The following is an 18,836-nucleotide window of genomic DNA, read 5'->3' as shown; positions in this document are numbered from 1 at the left end:
TTCCAACTGACATTGATTGATTGATTGATTGACAGGGTCTCGCTCTGTCACCCAGGTGGGAGTGCAATGGCATGATCATAGGATCATAGCTCACTGCAGCCTCGAACCCCTGGCCTCAAGCAATCCTCCTAAAGTGTTGAGATTATAGGCATGAGCCACTGCCCAGCCCATCTGACTTGTAAGCCTCTTATTTTCCTTCTACCATCCAAGATGCCGAATCGGGCTGGGAGTCACTCCCTGGCTTTGCCAAGCCATGTCATCATCCTGGCCTCAGCTCTCTTATCTGCAAAATGAGGCATTTGTTACAATTGCTACAGTCCCTTCCTAGTCTCACCTGGCCTAATTCTATTATGGGTGGAAGCACAAAAGAAAGGGGAGCTCCATAAGAAGGATATGCAGAAAATTGGGAGAGGTGAGGAAGACAAATTTAGCCATTTATATATGTCAGACCCAGTTATCTAGAATCGGATCCTTAGGAGAATATTCCCTAATATGGAGGAATAGTCTCAAAATCTCTGCTCTTAAGCTGCAGACTTGCCTGTTGCCCTTATTGCCTCGATCCTGAGTGCCACTTAAGCACCTGGACTTGAACTGCTGGAGGGGTTGGGGCTGGGAGAGACAGTGGAGAGCACCTGGCAGGGCTCTCTCCCAGTGCCTGCACCTCTGGGCTCAGCTCCGCTGGGCTAGCTCAGCTTAGGGTTTCAGGAGTTGCTGCAGCTAGAGGGCTGTCTGATGTTTCCAATGAGCAGGCGGGGTAGGGAGTGAGGGGAACGCGAGGGCGGGTAAGCCATCAGACCCGAGGAACTGGGGGTGTGAGTGTGTTTATATAGGACTTGGCCAACCTGCAGTTTCAGATTTCAGAGCCAGCTTTATTGGGAGATGTTCCTTAGGTTTTCAGTTAGCGCTGGAGCAAGGAGAGAGCTGACACCAGAGTCTTCCTGGAAGGCTGGGGGAATTCTGGAATCCCAGGCTCTCTCCCTGTCTCCTTCCTTCTCATGGGCAGTGCATCCGCCACCCTCGGCAGCTTTCTCCGATCAGAAGTATTGCTTCACTCCTTCTCAGTCGGCAGTCTGCGTCTCCCAGCTGGGTCCTGACATCTGGCATGGAAGGTAAAATCTAGGGTCCTGGGGATCTCCGCTAGGAAGATCTGGGGCCAGCCAAACTTTCAGTGGAGAGGACCCGGGAGAAAAACTCACATGTTGGGCAAAGAGCAGTATTTCACAGTAAGGCAGATATGAATGAGTGTGAGTGTGTGAGAGTGAATGTGTGTGAGTGTGTGTGTGGTGCAGGTACTTCTGTTAATAGTTGGGAAGCAAATCTTTTACCTGTTCTTCCTCTTTCTTTTACCTCTTCTTCTTTTCATTTATCCCTTCTTTCTCTTCTAGCAAATAAGAATATTGCATAAATGTTCATCTTCCTCGGGGTCTCTCATTAAAAAGTTAAAGAAAATATCTAATTTCTAGAAGGTGACTATTTTCTCCCTTGGGGGTAGGGGGCTGCAGAGGGAATTTAGAGACATAAGTACAACCCATGTGTATCCAGAGGACTGATGCCCCTAGGGTAAGCCCTGGATTTTGTAGGTGCTTAGAACACTTGTTTTTTTAATTTTAGATGGTGGGGGATGGTGTACATGTACAGGTTCATTACGTGGATATATTGCATAATGCTGAGGTTTGGGCTTCTGTTGAACCAGTCACCCAAATAGTGAATATAGTACCCAATAGGTTTATCCCCCATTTTGGAGTCCCCGGTATCTATCTACTGTTGTTATCTTTATGTCCTGGAACATTTCTTATAAATCTACCTGTAAAGCTGTCTGTTGGGAAGGTGAGATCCTTATGCATTCCAGCATGGTCTCCATGTGAAATTAGCTTGAACCAACCCAAGGGATCAAAGCTATGAGGGGCAAGTGGCAGGAGCACTTTCTTCTCAGTGCCTCAGAATTGGGCAGGATGGAGGCCAAAGCCTTGGAAGAGGGGGAGGAGGAATTGGCATTTTGCCTGAAAGCAGAAATTTGGGCGAGACAGGTGATTGGTGGATGGTGGGTAAGGCTGGCTGAATGTGGCCCCGTCTTCCTAGGGTTTGTGTGGTGTTTCTTGGTGGCAAGGAGCAGAGATCAGAGAACTGCCTTGTACAGGGGCTGGTGGGTGGGCAGCCTGGCCTGGCTGCCATCTGAGCAGTCACTGGTCCTGTGGGCAGCACATGCTGTGAGGCAGGATCTCGCAGGAATGGTGGGTGGCCCAGACTCAATGGGACAGAGCCAGAGGCTGGAGGTGGTTTTTGAAAAGCAGATTTGGGGTGGTGAGATATACATTGGAGGAGGAATGTGGTGGAGAAAGCTAGAGAAAGAATATGGGGTGGATGGAAAGGAACAAAAAGAGGGATTGGGGAGTCCTAAACTCTGACACATTCCAAAGCTGCAGCCAGGCAAGTGATCTCAACTCTCAATGTCGATATAATCCAGAATAGGTGAGAAAACCACCGTTTGCCTACTGACTTCTGAATATAGTGGGAGAAATGTATGAGAGGTGATGCGGGATGGGCAAAGTGCAACAAAAATACATTTTAAGCCTAAGAAATCATATAGTACAATGGAATTTAGAAGGCAATCACACAGCCATTTATTAGGCAATACAATTAATAGGTTGTACAGTCTGGTTATTTTTGAAACTATGGGCATTAAACATTTTTTTATTTATGTCACCACCTACTTCCAAATAGAATTCATAGCATCTTTATGTAGTTGGTAGATGCTGCTGTGCATAATTTTGGCCAAAAGAGTGTCATAATTTCTTCCTTTTGTTCAATTGTACAGTGCTTTGCAGCTCAGACCAAGTGTGCTTTCATACCCACACTCCCATTCTAGCTCAATTTAGCAGGTGTTTACTGATCCCTCTTCTTCCCTAAGCAGTGTGCTAGATTTTGAGTATAGAGAGATGGAAAAGAACTGGATCTGCCTTCAAGGGTCTCTCAGTTTACCTGCAATCCTGTAGGGAAGATGGGAAAAATATTCCTACAATATAGATGAGGAAACTGGAGCCAAAAGATGCTGCTATGGTTAGTCAGCAGGAGGGATGGATTAGAATCCAACTCCTAATCCAGCGTGCCGCAGTACTGCATGCACCTCCCTCTACCCCACTGCCCAGCAATGCACGCACTTTCCTTTACCTGTTCATCCCCCATACTTTCTGCATCAGAGTAATGAGAAAGAAGCAGTGATAGGGAAGGCAGAGTGGAAAACTGCTCCCTGGTATGGAACCAGTCCTCTCTGGGCCCCCTCATCGTGCAATTGAAATGGCATCACTGGGTCTATGTCTCTGTTACGTTGCCAATTTGATGCTCTCTACCACGCACCAGAGGCATACTTTTTTTCCTCAGGTAATTCTTGACTTGGAGTAGATTGCCTTCTTCTCTATTGTCCCTGAATTATTTGAACAGGCGAGGATATGGTAAAATTCAGGGGCTCACAGAAATTTAAGAGGTTTCAGTAGGGTGGTAGATGCTCACTGGACACCTGCTTTATAAAATAACAACCAATGTTTGTTCAGTGCCTTGTAATTGACAGAGTGCCTTTAATATAAGTAAAGAATAGTATGTGTATTAATTTCCCCCTCCCTTCCATACCTGCCCTACTCAGGTTTTCTAGAAGGTCTGAATCCCAAAAGCGTAGGATCTTTCTCTTAATTTTTAGGCTCAAGCTAAAAGGGACATGGAGCTGTCTTCTGGCCCAGTGATTCCCAAGTTTTGGTCTGTGACAGAGTTTTCACCAGTCTGAGGTAAAATAAGAAAAATAGGGAAAATTTACCAATTTTTTTCAGAAAGCAAAATGTATTAGAAGACATCTTTTAGGGGCAGGAGATGTGCTGAAATATTTACTAGCTTATCCTTTTTCAGAGCTGATGGTGAGAGTAGATGGTAATCAGGCTTTTAAAATATCCTTATTTAGCAAAATTAAAAGTTGACAATCTTATATTGGTTGTCCCTGATAAGGCCACTTTTGGGGCAGATTTCTGAAAACTTGAATTCTGATCTTGTCACTACCATCTTTCCCTGCGGGTCTTTAGAATGTGATAAACTGATAAACATATTGAGTCTTTCTCCATTCTTACTTTGTGAGAGGTTTCTACCTCCAGGGTCAGGCCCCCGGTGAAGGAATGTACTCTCACTTCCTCTTCCCCTTTGTCCTGAATAGCAGGGATAGCAGGGCTTTGGGATTAGGACTTGCGCATTCTTATTCCTACAGTCACCTTTTGGAAATGAGGGAGGTCGTCTTCTATCTTTGGAAAAGAGCAAGGAGATCTGTGGATTGGATTTTGGGAATAGTGTGAGAAACATGTTGTTAACTGGGTGGTTGAAGTCAAGAACATTTAAAAATCTTGATATCAATTTTTGAAATGGTGGGTCTTCTTGAACTCTCAAGAATATAGGCTAAGCCTGGCACAGTGGCTCACACCTGTAATCCTGGCACTTTGGGAGGCTGAGGCGGGCAGATCGCTTGAGCTCAGGAGTTCAAGACAAGCCTGGGCAACACGGTGAAATCCCGTCTCTACAAAAAAATACAAAAATTAACCAGACATGGTGACACACGCCTACAGTCCCAGCTACTCAGGAGGCTAAGGCAGGAGGATCGCTTGAGCCAAGGAGGCAGAGGTTGCAGTTAGCCGTGATTGCGCCTCTGTACTCCAGCCTGGGCAATAGAGTGAGACTCTTGTCTCACCACCACCCCCGTACCCCAAAATAATATAGATTGGAGCTTTTGTAAATTTGGAGGCTCCTGGGGGTATTAGAGTGTCTGAGTCTTCTACCTTTTGAGGATTCAGACCTGGAATTACAACAAATATGTGGGAAACCCCAGACAGGTGCCCAGCTGCCAGAATCTGAGACACATGGTTGGTGTGCACATATATGCAGACTTGTATGAGCAAAAGCTTTTAGGAAAAACTCAGTTTGAAACCACCCTAGGACTTGAACTAGATGCTCTTTTTTGAGGTTCATTCTAGGACACTTTTCCTAAAAGCAGATACCCAGGACTTCTTTATATAAGAAAACTTTCTGATTTTTTCATCCCATTTTCATGTCCTGAAATAAGAGCCCTCCTAGCCTAGGAAAGTGGTTAAGATTCCTAAATTAGGAAGGTTGTTCAACTGTGGGGAGAGGGTGAGAGGGTGGCAGATTCTCGAGCTTTCTCAGGGCAAAGAGGCATAGGGAAAATGACTAAAGGGAAGATTGGCTCCGATCTGGAAGACCAGGCCAAGGTGTGTGAGATTTTCTTTTCCAGACAGTTTCTAGATAGTGATGGGTCAGTCCAGCAGCATAGCCCTTAAGAACGGTGATGCAGGAAAGCCTGAACCTGTGACTGATGATGGATACCATGGGGCTGTTCAAACTAGCAGAGGGGGGAAAGAAAGAAAAGGATCCAAGAAGTGTAAATTAAAGATAGCTGCCACTTGAGGAGCTTCTTCAGGTTAGACCCCTCCGTGCTTCATCTGATGGCTCCACCTAGGGTTGGGCAGATGAATGATGGTGACAGGCAGTGGTTTTCTTTTTCTTTTTCTTTTTCTTTTTCTTTGAGATGGAGTTTTGCTCTTGTCCCCCAGGCTGGAGTGCAATGGCTTGATATCGGCTCACCACAACCTCCACCTCCTGGGTTCAAGCAATTCTCCTGCCTCAGCCTCCCAAGCAGCTGGGATTACAGGCATGCGCCACCACGCTCAGATAATTTTGTATTTTTAGTAGAGATGGGGTTTCTCCATGTTGGTCAGGCTGGTCTCAAATTCCTGACCTCAGGTAATCTGCCCGCCTCGGCCTCCCAAAGTGCTGGTATTATAGGCGTGAGCCACTGTACCCGGCTGGCAGTGGTTTTCTTAGCCCACCTCTGGTCCCCTCCAGTGGTGGCTTTCCCCAAGGAGGCTTTCCCCAAGGAGGATCTTTTCTTAACTTTGCATAAGTTTGGGACACAGCATTAGGGAGTACAGCTAAATTCTTAGAGATTAGAATCTCTTCTGAGATGTTCAAGCCAGAAGGAAGAAGGCGTTAATCATGCAGCATGGCTTTTCCTGAATGCAAAGACCAGCCTGGGCAACATGACACATGCAAGGTCAACAAGGATATTCCTGGACTTTTGAAGATGTCCCCCTCCTTATCATGGTGAGATTATGGAAAGCAATACCTGGACTCCAGGGCCAGCTTTGTCTCTAACTTGCTTCATGGTCTTGGAAAACTCAATCCTTCTCTCTGGGCCTCAGATTCTTCATTTGTAACATGAGGGAATTGAATTTGATTGCCACCATCCTCTTTGTTTAATTCTGCATGCCTCAGGTCTCCATGTGATACACAGTAGGGCGTTTCTAAGAATTTCATGTAGATGTTATCACTCCAAGAAAAGAAGCATCCACAACCTCTTTCTGAACTGCAGGTCTACTGCCCAACAGTCGTATGCCTGTTGGAAAAGTGGCTGAAGGTGGCAGGATGGACTAGGTCTTCTCAAGATAGCAGGTCCAAGGTCAGAATTGAGAAGTCCACTTGGACGACTGTGCCTTAGAGTGGGTTGAGTCCATAATAATCATCAGTAAGTCCCTAAAATGTACGACTAGAGCCAAGAGATCTGAGAATTGCCCAACATTTTTCACTGTTACTGACCAGGGCTGGTTTCCCATTTTAAAAGCCTCCTGAGGCCATGAAACAGCATCAGGAGAAACATGCCAAACCTGTTCGGCTGTGTGTTGATATGTTTGTTTCTCACCCTAATGTCCCATCATCATCATCCCCCTCACAATTGGAATTCCTTCCTTCAATTCCTCATAAACTCAAGCCCCCCTTCTCTCTGTTTCCCCCACAGCTCTGTCATTTATCCCCTGGGAATGGCCCTAGGGAGTAAGTGGTACAGATGAAGCCATGGGGTGGTGGTAGGGTGGAGAGAGGGCTGGAAGCCCAATGAGGTGGGGACTTGGGTGGCGTGTTTGGACTCTGTGGGCATGTCTATACCTGAAGTCCAACCAAATAACACATTGCCTCCGCCAGCTCTATTCAGCGTAGAAATGCAGCAGATTGCTGTAGGCTGATGAGCTGTTCTTTGAATCCTCTCCCCTGTCCCATGCCAACATGCATTCCCAGGAGCCAGCTCCAGGCTGCAGGAACCCAGAGACTCTCCAGACTGGTGATGAGGCAAGTGCTTTGACTCGCTGTCAGCATCTTTAGCTTAAATAACTCTGGTGACTCTGCTGAAACTCCTGTCTTCTGGAGCTAGAGAGGTGGCTTGTATAGCTCTATACTTCATTATCTGAAATCTTTGGGGCCTATGGATTTTAGAATGGTAAAGTGGTACACATTGTTTATTACATAAAACCTTCAGTAGGATCTGGAGCAGCTCCATAATCAAACATATTAATATCCTGCAGCCAGACTGAGAGCGTCACATGAGTGGGATAAATAAAGGCTGTAAAGAGTCTCTTGCCAGTTCAGGTCGCAGTTTGCAGCTAAATATGCTCAAGTCAGGTTGAGTTTTGCTGCCAGTTAGGACAAAACTTTCAGTTCAGACATTTGTAGGTTTTGGAATGCTATGAAAGCATTGCGGCTCTGTATTGCCTCATATAGTCTTGTAAGGTAGGAATTGGTCTTCCCATTTTACAGATGAGAAAGCTAGGGTTTAGAGAGGATCAATAACTTGTCCATTGACATTCAGCTGATAAGTGGGCTGAGCTGTCATTCCAATCCAGGTCTGTCTGCCTGCAGAGCTAGGCTTTTCCTCCAAGGTAATACCTCTTTAGAATGAATGAAGACAACTCAAGGGTGGGCACGGGGAGCTCTGACTTTGACATCTTCTCTGATTAGGGGGGTACTTTCTGGACATCTGATAGGGATCATTTATTGGCTTGTTCTTATTTATACATTGACTTCTGGGATCCCAGTAGGCTAATGGCTCAGAAGAGAGGAAGCTAAATTTCAGTCAACTTTGTGGCTTACAAGAAGAATCCAGCTGGCTTTGTCGGGGCTATGAGAGCCAAGAACAAATGGGGTCAAGTTGGATTTAGTGAGAGATGCATTATCTGCAGTGGAAGAAACCCCCATACAGAGCCAGTGAAATGCACAGTGCTTCCTGCTTCCCCACGCATTGCATGGCTGGAGAAGTGTTCCCTTGAGTGGGGACCTGTCTTGAGAGAAGGATTGTCCTCAAGGATCATGAGCCCTGGGTAAGCTTGAGAGTGATGAGCAGCTTGAAATAGGGAGAATTCAATTAGGGAGTCTCTCTGGTCTTCATTAGTGATATGAAAAAACAGTCAAAGGAAGCACTAATTCAATCTGCTGAAGATGCACCCTGCTGTTAACACATCATTGGAAAGATGGACCCTGGTCTGTTGTCTGGGCAATGGCATAGATAACCTCCCTCTTCTATCTTCTAAGTACTGTCAGATGGCGGCTGCCATTTCTGGGTCATCTCTAGGTCAGGCAAGATCTGGACTCTTAATATTCAGGCACATGTGTCCATGGTGTTCCTCTGTGGTGAGGAGCCTGCCATCAGTGAACTCCAAGCAGTAGAAGGGCCGGCTGCTCTGGCAGGGGAGTGGCCTGTGCTTCACTAGGGAGACACCCATTAGGAAGGGTGGTAGGTTAGTTTCCACAGGAACAAAGAACATCTGCTCCAGCCAACTAGAGAACAGATGGGGCAAAAAATATTCTTAAAGGGGACATTAGCTCATGGAATTGGTGCCAGGGAAGTAGGCCTTTCTAAAGAAGACATGAGGGGGCAGGTTAAACCTCTTAGCCTGAGAGAACTGTGAGGCCCTAAGACAGTAGAAGACCCACGTTGCTTTGGAAAGTGCAGGAGAAAGAATGCGAGATGTTTTCTCCCCTCAATAATGGCTGTCCTCTGGGAAAATGTCTCAAAGCTGTGTCAGCTTGCTGGCTGCCGGCTCAGAGCTCCCTGAGTCCTTCGGTCAGCAGTCCTCCCCTGCCACCTTCCCTATGGACCTTAGCTCACCTATATGACACACCCCACTTCTGTTGCCAGCTCCCTCTTAAACATCCCAGGGGCTCTTCTGCACTGGGCAGTAGGAAGCTCACCTGCTTTCTCTGACCCTCCTCTTTCTTCCTGTCCTCTCAGATGGCCTGGTGTCTAGGCTGGTGACAGCCTCCCAGCACCCTTTTCTGCTGTCTTTAGACAAAATTCCCAGTGCTTTCCCTTCTTCCTCCTGTTTGCTTTCCTTTTCTTCCTCATACCAACCATGTGTGCAAAGTCTAGATGGAGACTTTGGGTCCTCTGGAAATTATCTTGTCCCTTCCTCTGGGATTAATTTGTGACTTCTGGGTACAAGTTACTGACTACTCAAAGCAGCTGAAGCCCCAGAGGGGATTTAATTATAAGGGAGCTGGGGTGTCTCTCAGAACTCAAGGTCAAAGAAATGGCTGGATCACAAGAATGGACTAGAAGCAAGAAGCTGAATGCCACAGATATGGTCTTTGCCCCTCTCTGTGTGCTGGCTCATTCACTTCTCTCATTGCAGAGAGGACTTTCAGCTTCCTGGTCAGTCTATAGGAAAGAAAAGATGGAAAAGCAGCTCCTTCCTGTGCACATCACCAATAGAATTGCCTGGAGAAGGGCTGGCCTCTTTTTTCTCTCCATCTCTGTTCCCATCCCTGGGGAGGGATTTTGGCTGAGCTGAGATCAGGTGGCTACCCCATGTAACCACAAGAGTGGGTAGGGTTTAGGCACATGGTTATTTCCTTAACCATGGATCTAGGGATGGGGCCAGTTTCTAGAAATGGGTTAGTACTTTCTGTTGCACATTAGCCCTTCTTGGACCTCCAAGCCTAGGGGAGTCTGGCCTAGAGAGTTTACACACCCCAACTCCTCTCGCTTGGCTCTTCTCCTGCCTGGCATGAGGACGGGCAAGGCCTAGCAAGGAGCAGGGTAGTCTGACTGATGGAACCTGGGGCATGGCTGTGTGTCATTGCCATTCTCCATGTGCAGAAAAGACCCGGAACCTGGACCTTGAAGGCCATTCAGTCCCCGACCCCTCCTCAGGTACCACTCTACCCTTTTAGTAAAGTCTTTCATAAATGGTTTGATTGTTCCATTTGACACTAGGGAGTCAACATTGAAAAGTCTCACTGTTGGAAAGCTCATTGTTTCTAAATTCAGTCTTTCATGATGTAACTGAATCCATCCATTGTCCCTCATTCCATCTGGGGCTCACAAGGAAGACTCAGGCCCACCATCTTGCTTAGGTTAGGATTGAATTAGTGAATATGAAACTATTTTTGCATGAGAAGACAAGGGCTTGGGCCAGGCTCTATGGGATTTGGAAGCATTTTTGACTGGCTGCTGCTCTTCATCGAAGTGAACCCCTGAGGAGAAGAGACACATGTCTGACTACTTGTGGAAATGCCCAAGAGCACTCCTCTAGATTCTTCTTTTCCAACTACTGGCTCCATGGGACCAGAGCCAATTGTGAACCATGAGAAAGGTGTGGAGGTTCAGGCAAGTCAATGGGGAGAGATATGAGGAGTAGGGGGAGGACAGCAAAGGGGTCCTAGATCAAGATGCCGTCTTCCCTCTATCACTCACATTGATGGACCTTGTGGAGGTTGGGCAACCAAAACCTGCAAAGAACCCTAAATCCTTTTGGATCTCTGATAAGAAACAGCTCATAGTTAGCAATGTAGAGGGGACTGAATTTCAGTTCCGATGTTTCTGGTGGTTCCACAAGCTGGGGGGTTGAGACAATGATAACCACGAACGTGTAACAGGCATCGTTTTAGGCATTTTATGTGAATTAAGTCACTTAATCCTCACAATAAATCCTATGAAGTAGAAACTGTTACCCACCCCCCCTGTTGCCGATGAGGAAACTGAGGCATAGAGAGATTGAATAACTTGTCCAAAGTCCCATTGCTAGTATGGAGTAGAGTCAGGATTCTAATCCAGGCATTGTGACTTCCCAGCCATCCTTCCTTTTCTCTCTGACCAACTGGGGAACCAAACAGTTCTACCCCAGGTGAACAGGAGAAAAGACTGCCTGATATCAACTCCCCCAGGACAGCGACCTTGTCCTTTGTAGCCATGTGCTAAGGCCCAGTGCCTTACACCCAGTAGAATTTCTTGTTGGAAAGAGAAAACTTAAAGGGGGACGAGGATTAGTCTTTGTCTTGAGACTTTCCAACAAGAGAAATTTACATTTAGACACTCCATGTATCCATGTATTTTCCTACCAGAAGGTAGTGTTTAGGAGTTAAATGTCACATCAAAGACAAATGTTAGAGCCAGGAGATTTTTCTTTCTAGGAAGAAGGATATGTTAGTTAGTGACTTTCTCCATCTGATTCGGATTTTATCTCTACTGTTGTCACTAAATTCTTTTCCTTTCTCTCTCCATGGAGCTGGTAGTTTAAAAAAAGAAATCTGCAGGGATGGGTACGGTGGCTCTCTGGTTATGGTGGTAATAGCCATGTTCCTAAATCTGAACTCCTTTCTTCAGGTCAAATTGCATAAGCTTTCCATGGTACTGCAGGCTTTTTCTTTCTGCTCCCCTTCACTCTGCGATGCCTCAAACCTCTCATTTCCGTCCACGCTCTCTGCAGACACAGAGTACTGAGGCTGGAAGGAGAAGGAGGGGAACAGGCAGGCCCCACTCTCTGCTCTGAGTAGTGTGTGGGAGGAGGCTGGAGAACGGAGCACTTCTCTCTGATCCTGCCTGACTCTTTTGGAGCCAGTGAGGTGGGGGTGTCTCTGAGTGAAGCAGAGGGAGGCCTGGAGGGGCTCAGGAGCTGGACTATTTCTGTAACACAGAGCACGTCTGCAGCCAGCCACAGAGAAGGTCAAACTCTGGGTGCAGGGCTGGAATGCAAGGGGCCAGGCAGCTGGGGGGAGCTGTGGTTTCACCCTTCTGGCAGCTTAGAGGGCCGCTGCAATGCCCTTTGGGGAAGGTGGGGCTACCCACAGCAAAGCGAGTAGGGGAGTGGGGAGGGACTCTGCTCTGGTAGATAGTGATGATGGTGCAGGGCATTGGAGGAGGGTAGGGGAAGGCATGCAAAATCTAAATGCCCATCACATGTGTTGGAGAGGAATTGAATTCCAAGATGTGGGGGCTTTAATTCATGCTCTCTACCATTAAAAAAAAAAATCAGGCAAAGCACTGTGTGAGAGGAAAGAGAAATAGTGCTGAGACGGGAACCAGGAGGCCACGAAACACACGCATGTGAGTGTGCACCAGTGTTCAGAAATCCACATGGGGAGGAGGATGCACTTGCACTGGCCCCTTCCAAGGCCATATCTAACACACAAATTTGTACCTATAGTCTTTTCCTTAATGAGGACCACGCCCCTCCCACCACAAATTGTATAAGCTCCAGGACCCCAGAAACCCAGATCTGTTGCTGCATCCACGACACTGACACATATGCCCTTCCTTGGTCCCCTGCCTGCACGTCATGAAGCCCCTTCCTCTGTGTGCGTGCACCCCGTAGCTTCTGTGCCTTACCCTCATCTTCCCACGTGTGTTTGTGCGGTTTGGAGCTTCTTGAGTTTCCGTTTATAGTTAGAAAATTGCCCTGCTCTGGCTCTGGCTTTGTCACAGGAGGCTCGTGTTGGCTCAGTCTGACTGCTGCTTGACCTTTGGCCACCCTGCCCTTGGCTTGGCCTGCTGTGGCCACCTAGAAGCATAATCTGTTGGTTTGTTTTCCTTCTCGGGCTGTGGGTCCTCCCCAGCTGAATCTAAGCCTCTAAAATGGGGTGAGGGTTTCAGATGAGCAGGCAGCCTTTGGAAGGAGCGCTTCCCTGAAGAACCGAAGGTGCTCAGGATGAGCAGCTCTTTTGTCCTATAATTTGCTCTAGGGGCAATGAGATTCCCTTTCTCAGGTCTAGTGGGCCCCAAGAGAACAAGGACTTGCTACACACCTTATGCAGCTGGATAGCAGCATAAGCACTAGAATTTTTTTTTTGTTGTTTGTTTTTTTTTTTTTGAGATGGCATCTCCCTCTGTCACCCAGGCTAGAGTGCAATAGCATGACCTCAGCTCACTGCAACCTCCGCCTCCCGGATTCAAGCGATCCTCTTGCCTCAGCCTCCCGAGTAGCTGGGACTACAGGCGTGTGCCACCACACCTGGTTACTTTTTGTATTTTTAGTAGAAACAGGGTTTCATTATGTTGGCCAGGCTGTACTTGAACTCCAGACCTCAGGAAATCCACCCACCTTGGCCTCCCAAAGTGCTGGGATTATGGGCATGAGCCAATGCGCCTGGCCTAGAACTGGGTCTTCTTAGTCAATTATTTCTGTCCAGTAATGTTGACCCTTAGAATGGACTGCTTTCAACCATGACACACACACAAAAGCCCACCTCCCAGTTCAAATTACACTAGGAACAGACCTCCCTCACATTTGAGATTCTCAGGTGTTAATTGTTCTGGCTCCTAAGTACAGGGGAGAGGGTACTATCTTGATGGATAACTTCTTTAGGAACAAATTATTAAGCATCCATCTGTAGGTGTCAAAGTGGTGAGGGGTTTTATAATCAAAATTGAGCCACTGTCTCCTAAGGATAAATAGCCCAAGGCAGATGCAGACAGATAATAATGATTATTAGCATTTATTGAACATTTACTAAGTGCCAGAACCTTTCATAAATTTTTTGTGGGTATAATCTTATTTACTCCTGTGACGAACCCATGAAGAAGGTCCGTATATTATCCCGTTTTCACAGATGGGGGAATGAAAGCACAGAGAGGTTAAGTTTCTCACCCAGAGTCCCTTAGGTAGTAACTGGTGGAGCCGGGATTGGAACTGGGGCAGTCTGACTCCAGAGCCAAAAATCTCAAGGCTAATGCGGATTCAACTCAATAAAAATAAACGAAAGGATTAGCTGGTAGGATGATGCATGAGAAGGGAATTTCAAGTTGCACAACTAACATAAAGTGGGAAGAAAGCTGGCTTTGGGCTGTGTCCTGGGCTCTAATCCCAGTTCTCTCACTTCCTAACTGTGTAGCCTTGGGCTAATAACCTGACCTCTCAGGTTCTTCCTCCGCAACAGCAGGACAGCAATACCTATCTCTGGGGGTTAAGCAGAGAATTCGCTAGCATCATGACTTGGATAGGTGTTAATTTCCTTTTTCTTTCTGTGCTAGTTGTCAAGTTTTCCTGGGAGGGTGAAGGGTAATTTGGGAATTCAAGGTTAATTCTTATTTCAAGAAGAAATGTCCAACCAGCCCTCCAGTACCCTATCTTCTGGACAAGATTTTCTGCCATCACCACTTCCTCCGTATCCTCCTGGGATGGCCTGGAATTGGAGGAGAGACAGGCTGGAGAGAGAGAAGGGTGTTTGGCTTAATGCAGCTGTCAAGCAGCTGTCACGCTCTGGCCACTCTTTCTTCATCTTCTCTTTTTCCTTTTAAAAACAAGGACATTCTCTTGCATAACCACAGTACAATTAACAGACTCAGGAAACTTAATAACATCGATACAATTCTATTATCTAATATACAGTCCATATTGAAATTTCACCAGTTGTCCTAATAATGTCATTAGAATCCAATTCAGGATCATGTCTCTTTCCTCTCAGTCTGGAAAGTCCCTCAGCCTTTCTCCATGTTCATGCATTGAAGTTTTCTTAAAGAGCACAGGATCCTCTCTGGGACTTCCTGAGCCTTGTCCCGTCTTTCCTCATCCCTGAGCAGGGCTGACTAGAGTAAGGCGATTAATACACTCCCCTTAGGTACAAAATGTCTTACATTTTGCCAAATGGGTGCCAAAAAACTCGGTAGTCAAGATAAATAACATTTCAATGCAATAATTTTAAAATCAAAATCAATGCAAACATTTCATGAAGAACAAAATAGTAACATTCGAAATAAAGACAGGATCTAAAACAGTGCCACTTTAAGCCAAATTGGAGGCTGAGGCAAAAGGGAAATTCCAGTGATACTGGTCCTGTCTTTATTTGAAATGTTGGTATTTCATTCATCATGGGTTTTTAATGTTAATTTTTATTTCAAAAATATCGCGTTAAAATAAGTCTTGATTGGCCGGGTGCAGTGGCTCATGCTTGTAATCCCAGCACTTTGGGAGGCCAAGGCGGGCGGATCACCTGAGGCCAGGAGTTCGAGATCAGCCTGGCCAGCATGGTGAAACCGTATCTCTACTGAAAATACAAAAATTAACTGGGTGTGGTGGCACATGCCTGTAGTCCCAGCTACTTGGGAGGCTGAGGCAGGATAATCGCTTGAACTTGGGAGGCAGAGGTTGCAATGAGCCAAGATCGCGCCACTGCACTGCAGCCTGGGTGACAGAGCAAGACTCCATCTCAAAGAAAAAAAAAAAGTCTGATTACTGAGTTTTTGGATGCCCCTTAAACTTTGTGCTCCCTCCCCCACTCCCACAGTGTGGGCTTGCTCCCTCTCCCAGTCATCCCACCCTCAGAACAAGTTGGGGGAGAGAGGTGGGGCTCCATGCCAGGAGGAGGAAGGTTAGGGTACAGAGAAGAGGCGGGAGGGGAGGGGTACAGAGGCCTGGAACGCAGCCGTGTGTCTGGCCGGGAGCTCTCTAACACTAACAGCTTCCAGCTGCTTCCACAACCTCCAGACTTCCGCCTTGGGAGTGGCATTTGGTTGTTTTTTATTCCCCCTCTTCACATCAAATGTGTGATCTAATTAGACTTTGCATCCCTCATTTCTATCAGTCTTCCCTGTCTTGCAGTGCTCCCCTTAGTTGACCTGTCCTGACCCTGTTTCCATCCATCCCAGGAGCCTCTCAGGTGCTGCCACTGGCATGCTCCAGGAGCATCCACCCAGTGCTGGGTGAGCACCACAAAGACCAAGCCAGGGCAAGAGACACAGGTAGGCGTCAGCCAGGGTGAGGGAAATGGGGGGCATCAGCCAGGGCGAGGGACACAGGTGGGCATCAGCCAGGGTGAGGGACATAGGTGGGCGTCAGCCAGGGTGAGGGACACAGGTGGGTATCAGCCAGGGTGAGGGACATAGTGCCCGGGTGAGGGACATAGGTGGGCATCAGCCAGGTCGGGGCAGCTCCTTGTGGCCCTGAGGAAAGAGCTTCGGACTGAGGTTAACAGACCCCGAGGTTAGCCTTGCCTCAGGTATATGAGGTGGGTTATCTCAGCCAACACTTCCAGCTTCAGGGATTTTGTTTTGTAAAATGAGGGTGGTACTAACACTTTTCTGCCCACCTCATAAGACCATAAAAGAACCAAATGAGATAATGATGACAGTGCTTTGTGAACCGTAAAGGATTTTATTTGATATTTTCCCTTCTGTCATAGAACAAATAATCCTTTATTTTGATGAAGACCGTATTCAGGTCTGCTACATTATTTGATCTAAATCCATGAGAAGAGTAAAGGCGGATTCAGGACACATGTTCATCTCTGCCTGTAACCAGCATTTCTGTCAGACTAAAGCAGGTCAGTAGGAAACCATACCCATTCCCACCCTCATTCCATCACCATGTGAAACAGAATGGGTGTGCCCAATAATAGCAGTCGTTGTTTTAATGTCTCAATTGAAGGCTTTTCTTTTTTATAGATTTATTGAGGTATATGATAAATTGTATATATTTAAAGGGTAAAATTAGGTGCATTTTGTGAAACCATAAACACAATTGAGATAATTAACATATATCCATCACTCCCCAGTTTCTTCCTGCCTCTTTGTAATCCCTCCCTCCACCCTGGCCCCAGGCAACCACCCGTCTGCTTTCTGTCACTATAGATTAGTTTGCATTTTTAAGAATTTTATATAATGGAATCATAAATGAATACTTTTATTTCAAGAAAGCCTGGCTCCTTTTATTCCATATAAATATTTTAAGATTCATCCATTATGCTGCATATTTCAATAATTCATTTCTTTTTATTGCTGAGTAGTACTCTGTTGTATGCATGTAACACATACGTTGTACCCAGGTTTTCATGGACATTTGAGTTGTTTGTAGTTTGGGGCTGTCACAAATAAGGCTGCTGTGAACATCTGTCTACAAGTCGTTGTGTGGACATATGCTTTCCTTTTTTTTGGGTAAATGCCTAGGAGTGAAGTCAATGGGTTGTATGGTGCATGGATGTTTAAACTCTTTAAGAAACTGGGAAACTGTTTTCTAAAGCAGGATGTACCATTTATATTCTCACCAGCAGTATATGAGCATTCCAGTTCCTCTACATTTTTGCCAGCACTTGGTATGGTTAGTCTTTTAATTTTAGCTATTCTAGTGGGTGTGGGTAGAGATAGCTCATAGTAGTTTCAATTTGCATTTCTCTAATGGCTAATGATGTTTTCTTTTCATGTACCTTATTTGACATGTGTATAACTTTGGTGTTGTTTGCTATCTTAATACTAAGTTGTGAGAGTTCTTCATAGGTTCTAGATAAAAGTCCTATGTGCGTTATATAGTTTGCAAATATTTTCTCTGTTTATGGCTTACTTTTTCATTTTCGTAACAATGTCTTTTTTTTTTTTTTTTTGAGACAGGGTCTCACTCTGTCACCCACGCTGCTATGCAGTGATGCAATCTTGGCTCACTGCAACCTCCCCCTCCTGGGTTCAAGTGATTCTCTGACTCAGCCTCCTGAGTAGCTGGGATTACAGGTGCACGCCACCATGCCTGGCTAATTTTTGTATTGTTAGTAGTGACGGGATTTCACCATGTTGGCCAGGCTGGTCTCGAACTCCTGACCTCAAGTGATCTCCCCACCTTGGCACCCGAAAGTGCTGGGATTACAGGCATGAGCCACTGCGCCTGGCCTGTAATAGTGTCTTTTGAAGAGCAAACTTAAATTCTGACAAATTTCAATTTATTGATTTTTCTTGATGGTGCGTTTTTTGTCATTTTAAAGACATCTTTGCCAAATGCAAAGTCACTAAGATTTTCTCCTGTGTTTTCTTCTAGAAACATTGTAGTTTTAGCTCTTTCATTTATGTCTATGGTCCGTTTTGAGTTAATTTTTTAATGATAGGGTCAAGGTTGTTTGTTTGTTTGTTTTCATGTGTTTTACAGCACCATGTATTGAAAAGCCTGTCATTCTCCTTTGCATTGACTTTATACCTTTGTCAAAAACCAATTGACCAAAATGTGTGGATTTATTTCTGAACTCTCTACTCTGTTCCATTTATCTATATATGTGTCTTTATGCCAACACTACATTGTCTTGATAACTGTAGCTTTATAATAAGTCTTGAAGTCAGGTAGTATAAATCCTCCAAACCTATTCTTCTTCAAAGCTTTTGAGTATTCTGGATCCTTTGAATTTCCATGTGAATGTTAGAATCAGCTTGTCAACTTTACAAAGATCTGCTAGGGTTTTGGTTGGCACTGTGTTGTATCCATAGAAAAATATGGGGAGAGTTGACAATTTAACAATATTGAGTCTCCTGATCCATGAAAACAGTATTTTTCTCCTTTTATTTGGATTTTATTTCACTTCTTTCAGCAATGTTTTATAGTTTTCAGTGTATAGGTCTTGCACATCCCTTGTCAAAAGTATCCCTTAATTTTATGCTATTATAAATGGTGTTTTAAAATTTCCTTTTTTCATTGTTTGTTGCCAGTATATAGAAATACAACTGATTTTTCTATATAGACTTTGTATCCTGAGCCTCTCCTCCCTTGCTTTGAAAATTGAATTTAAAAGAGCAGGAACCTGAAAATATCAAGGGGCAGGGCATTTGCATGACATGATAAACATTTACAATGGCTCTAAAAGCATGAGCATCTTTCTGTTCTAAGTCATAGATCATTTCAGTAGCAGCTCTACAGTAGCTGTGACTGTAAAGGATGGGAAGGAAGGGTGGTATAGTAAATTCTGACCCTACACAAGTAGAACACCTCCAGATCTCTGGGGTA

At 45.6% G+C, this 18,836-nt stretch overlaps 1 protein-coding gene across 24 annotated transcripts in view, besides 2 other annotated features; it reads left to right on the top strand.

Annotated features, from left to right (window-relative positions):
- Nucleotides 1–18,836, top strand: part of PLEKHA6 (pleckstrin homology domain containing A6) — a 159,316-nt gene that overhangs the window by 69,723 nt on the left and 70,757 nt on the right. For 9 of the 24 annotated variants that reach the window (XM_047449458.1, XM_047449457.1, XM_047449452.1 and 6 more), the window contains exon 2: nt 1,004–1,109. The exons of 14 other annotated variants lie outside the window; for them this stretch is intronic. In XM_047449458.1, the coding sequence (XP_047305414.1) occupies nt 1,004–1,109 (106 nt within the window). Of the gene's footprint in view, nt 1–852; nt 1,110–18,836 lie in introns of those variants that run through there. One more of the 24 variants, XM_047449462.1, reaches the window with a different exon arrangement.
- Nucleotides 3,899–4,519: an enhancer, noted in NCBI's record as "OCT4-NANOG-H3K27ac-H3K4me1 hESC enhancer chr1:204273055-204273675 (GRCh37/hg19 assembly coordinates)". NCBI's record gives its function as "activates a minimal SCP1, AML or CMV promoter by ChIP-STARR-seq in primed H9 embryonic stem cells {active_cell/tissue: H9 hESC(primed)}" and the evidence as "EXISTENCE:reporter gene assay evidence [ECO:0000049][PMID:30033119]".
- Nucleotides 12,227–13,118: an enhancer, noted in NCBI's record as "H3K27ac-H3K4me1 hESC enhancer chr1:204264456-204265347 (GRCh37/hg19 assembly coordinates)". NCBI's record gives its function as "activates a minimal SCP1, AML or CMV promoter by ChIP-STARR-seq in primed H9 embryonic stem cells {active_cell/tissue: H9 hESC(primed)}" and the evidence as "EXISTENCE:reporter gene assay evidence [ECO:0000049][PMID:30033119]".

Source organism: Homo sapiens, chromosome 1, assembly GCF_000001405.40.
Source record: "Homo sapiens chromosome 1, GRCh38.p14 Primary Assembly".
Lineage (NCBI taxonomy): Eukaryota > Metazoa > Chordata > Mammalia > Primates > Hominidae > Homo > Homo sapiens.
The sequence above is the reverse complement of the archived record's forward strand: the minus strand, read 5'-3'. Positions and strand labels throughout refer to the sequence as shown.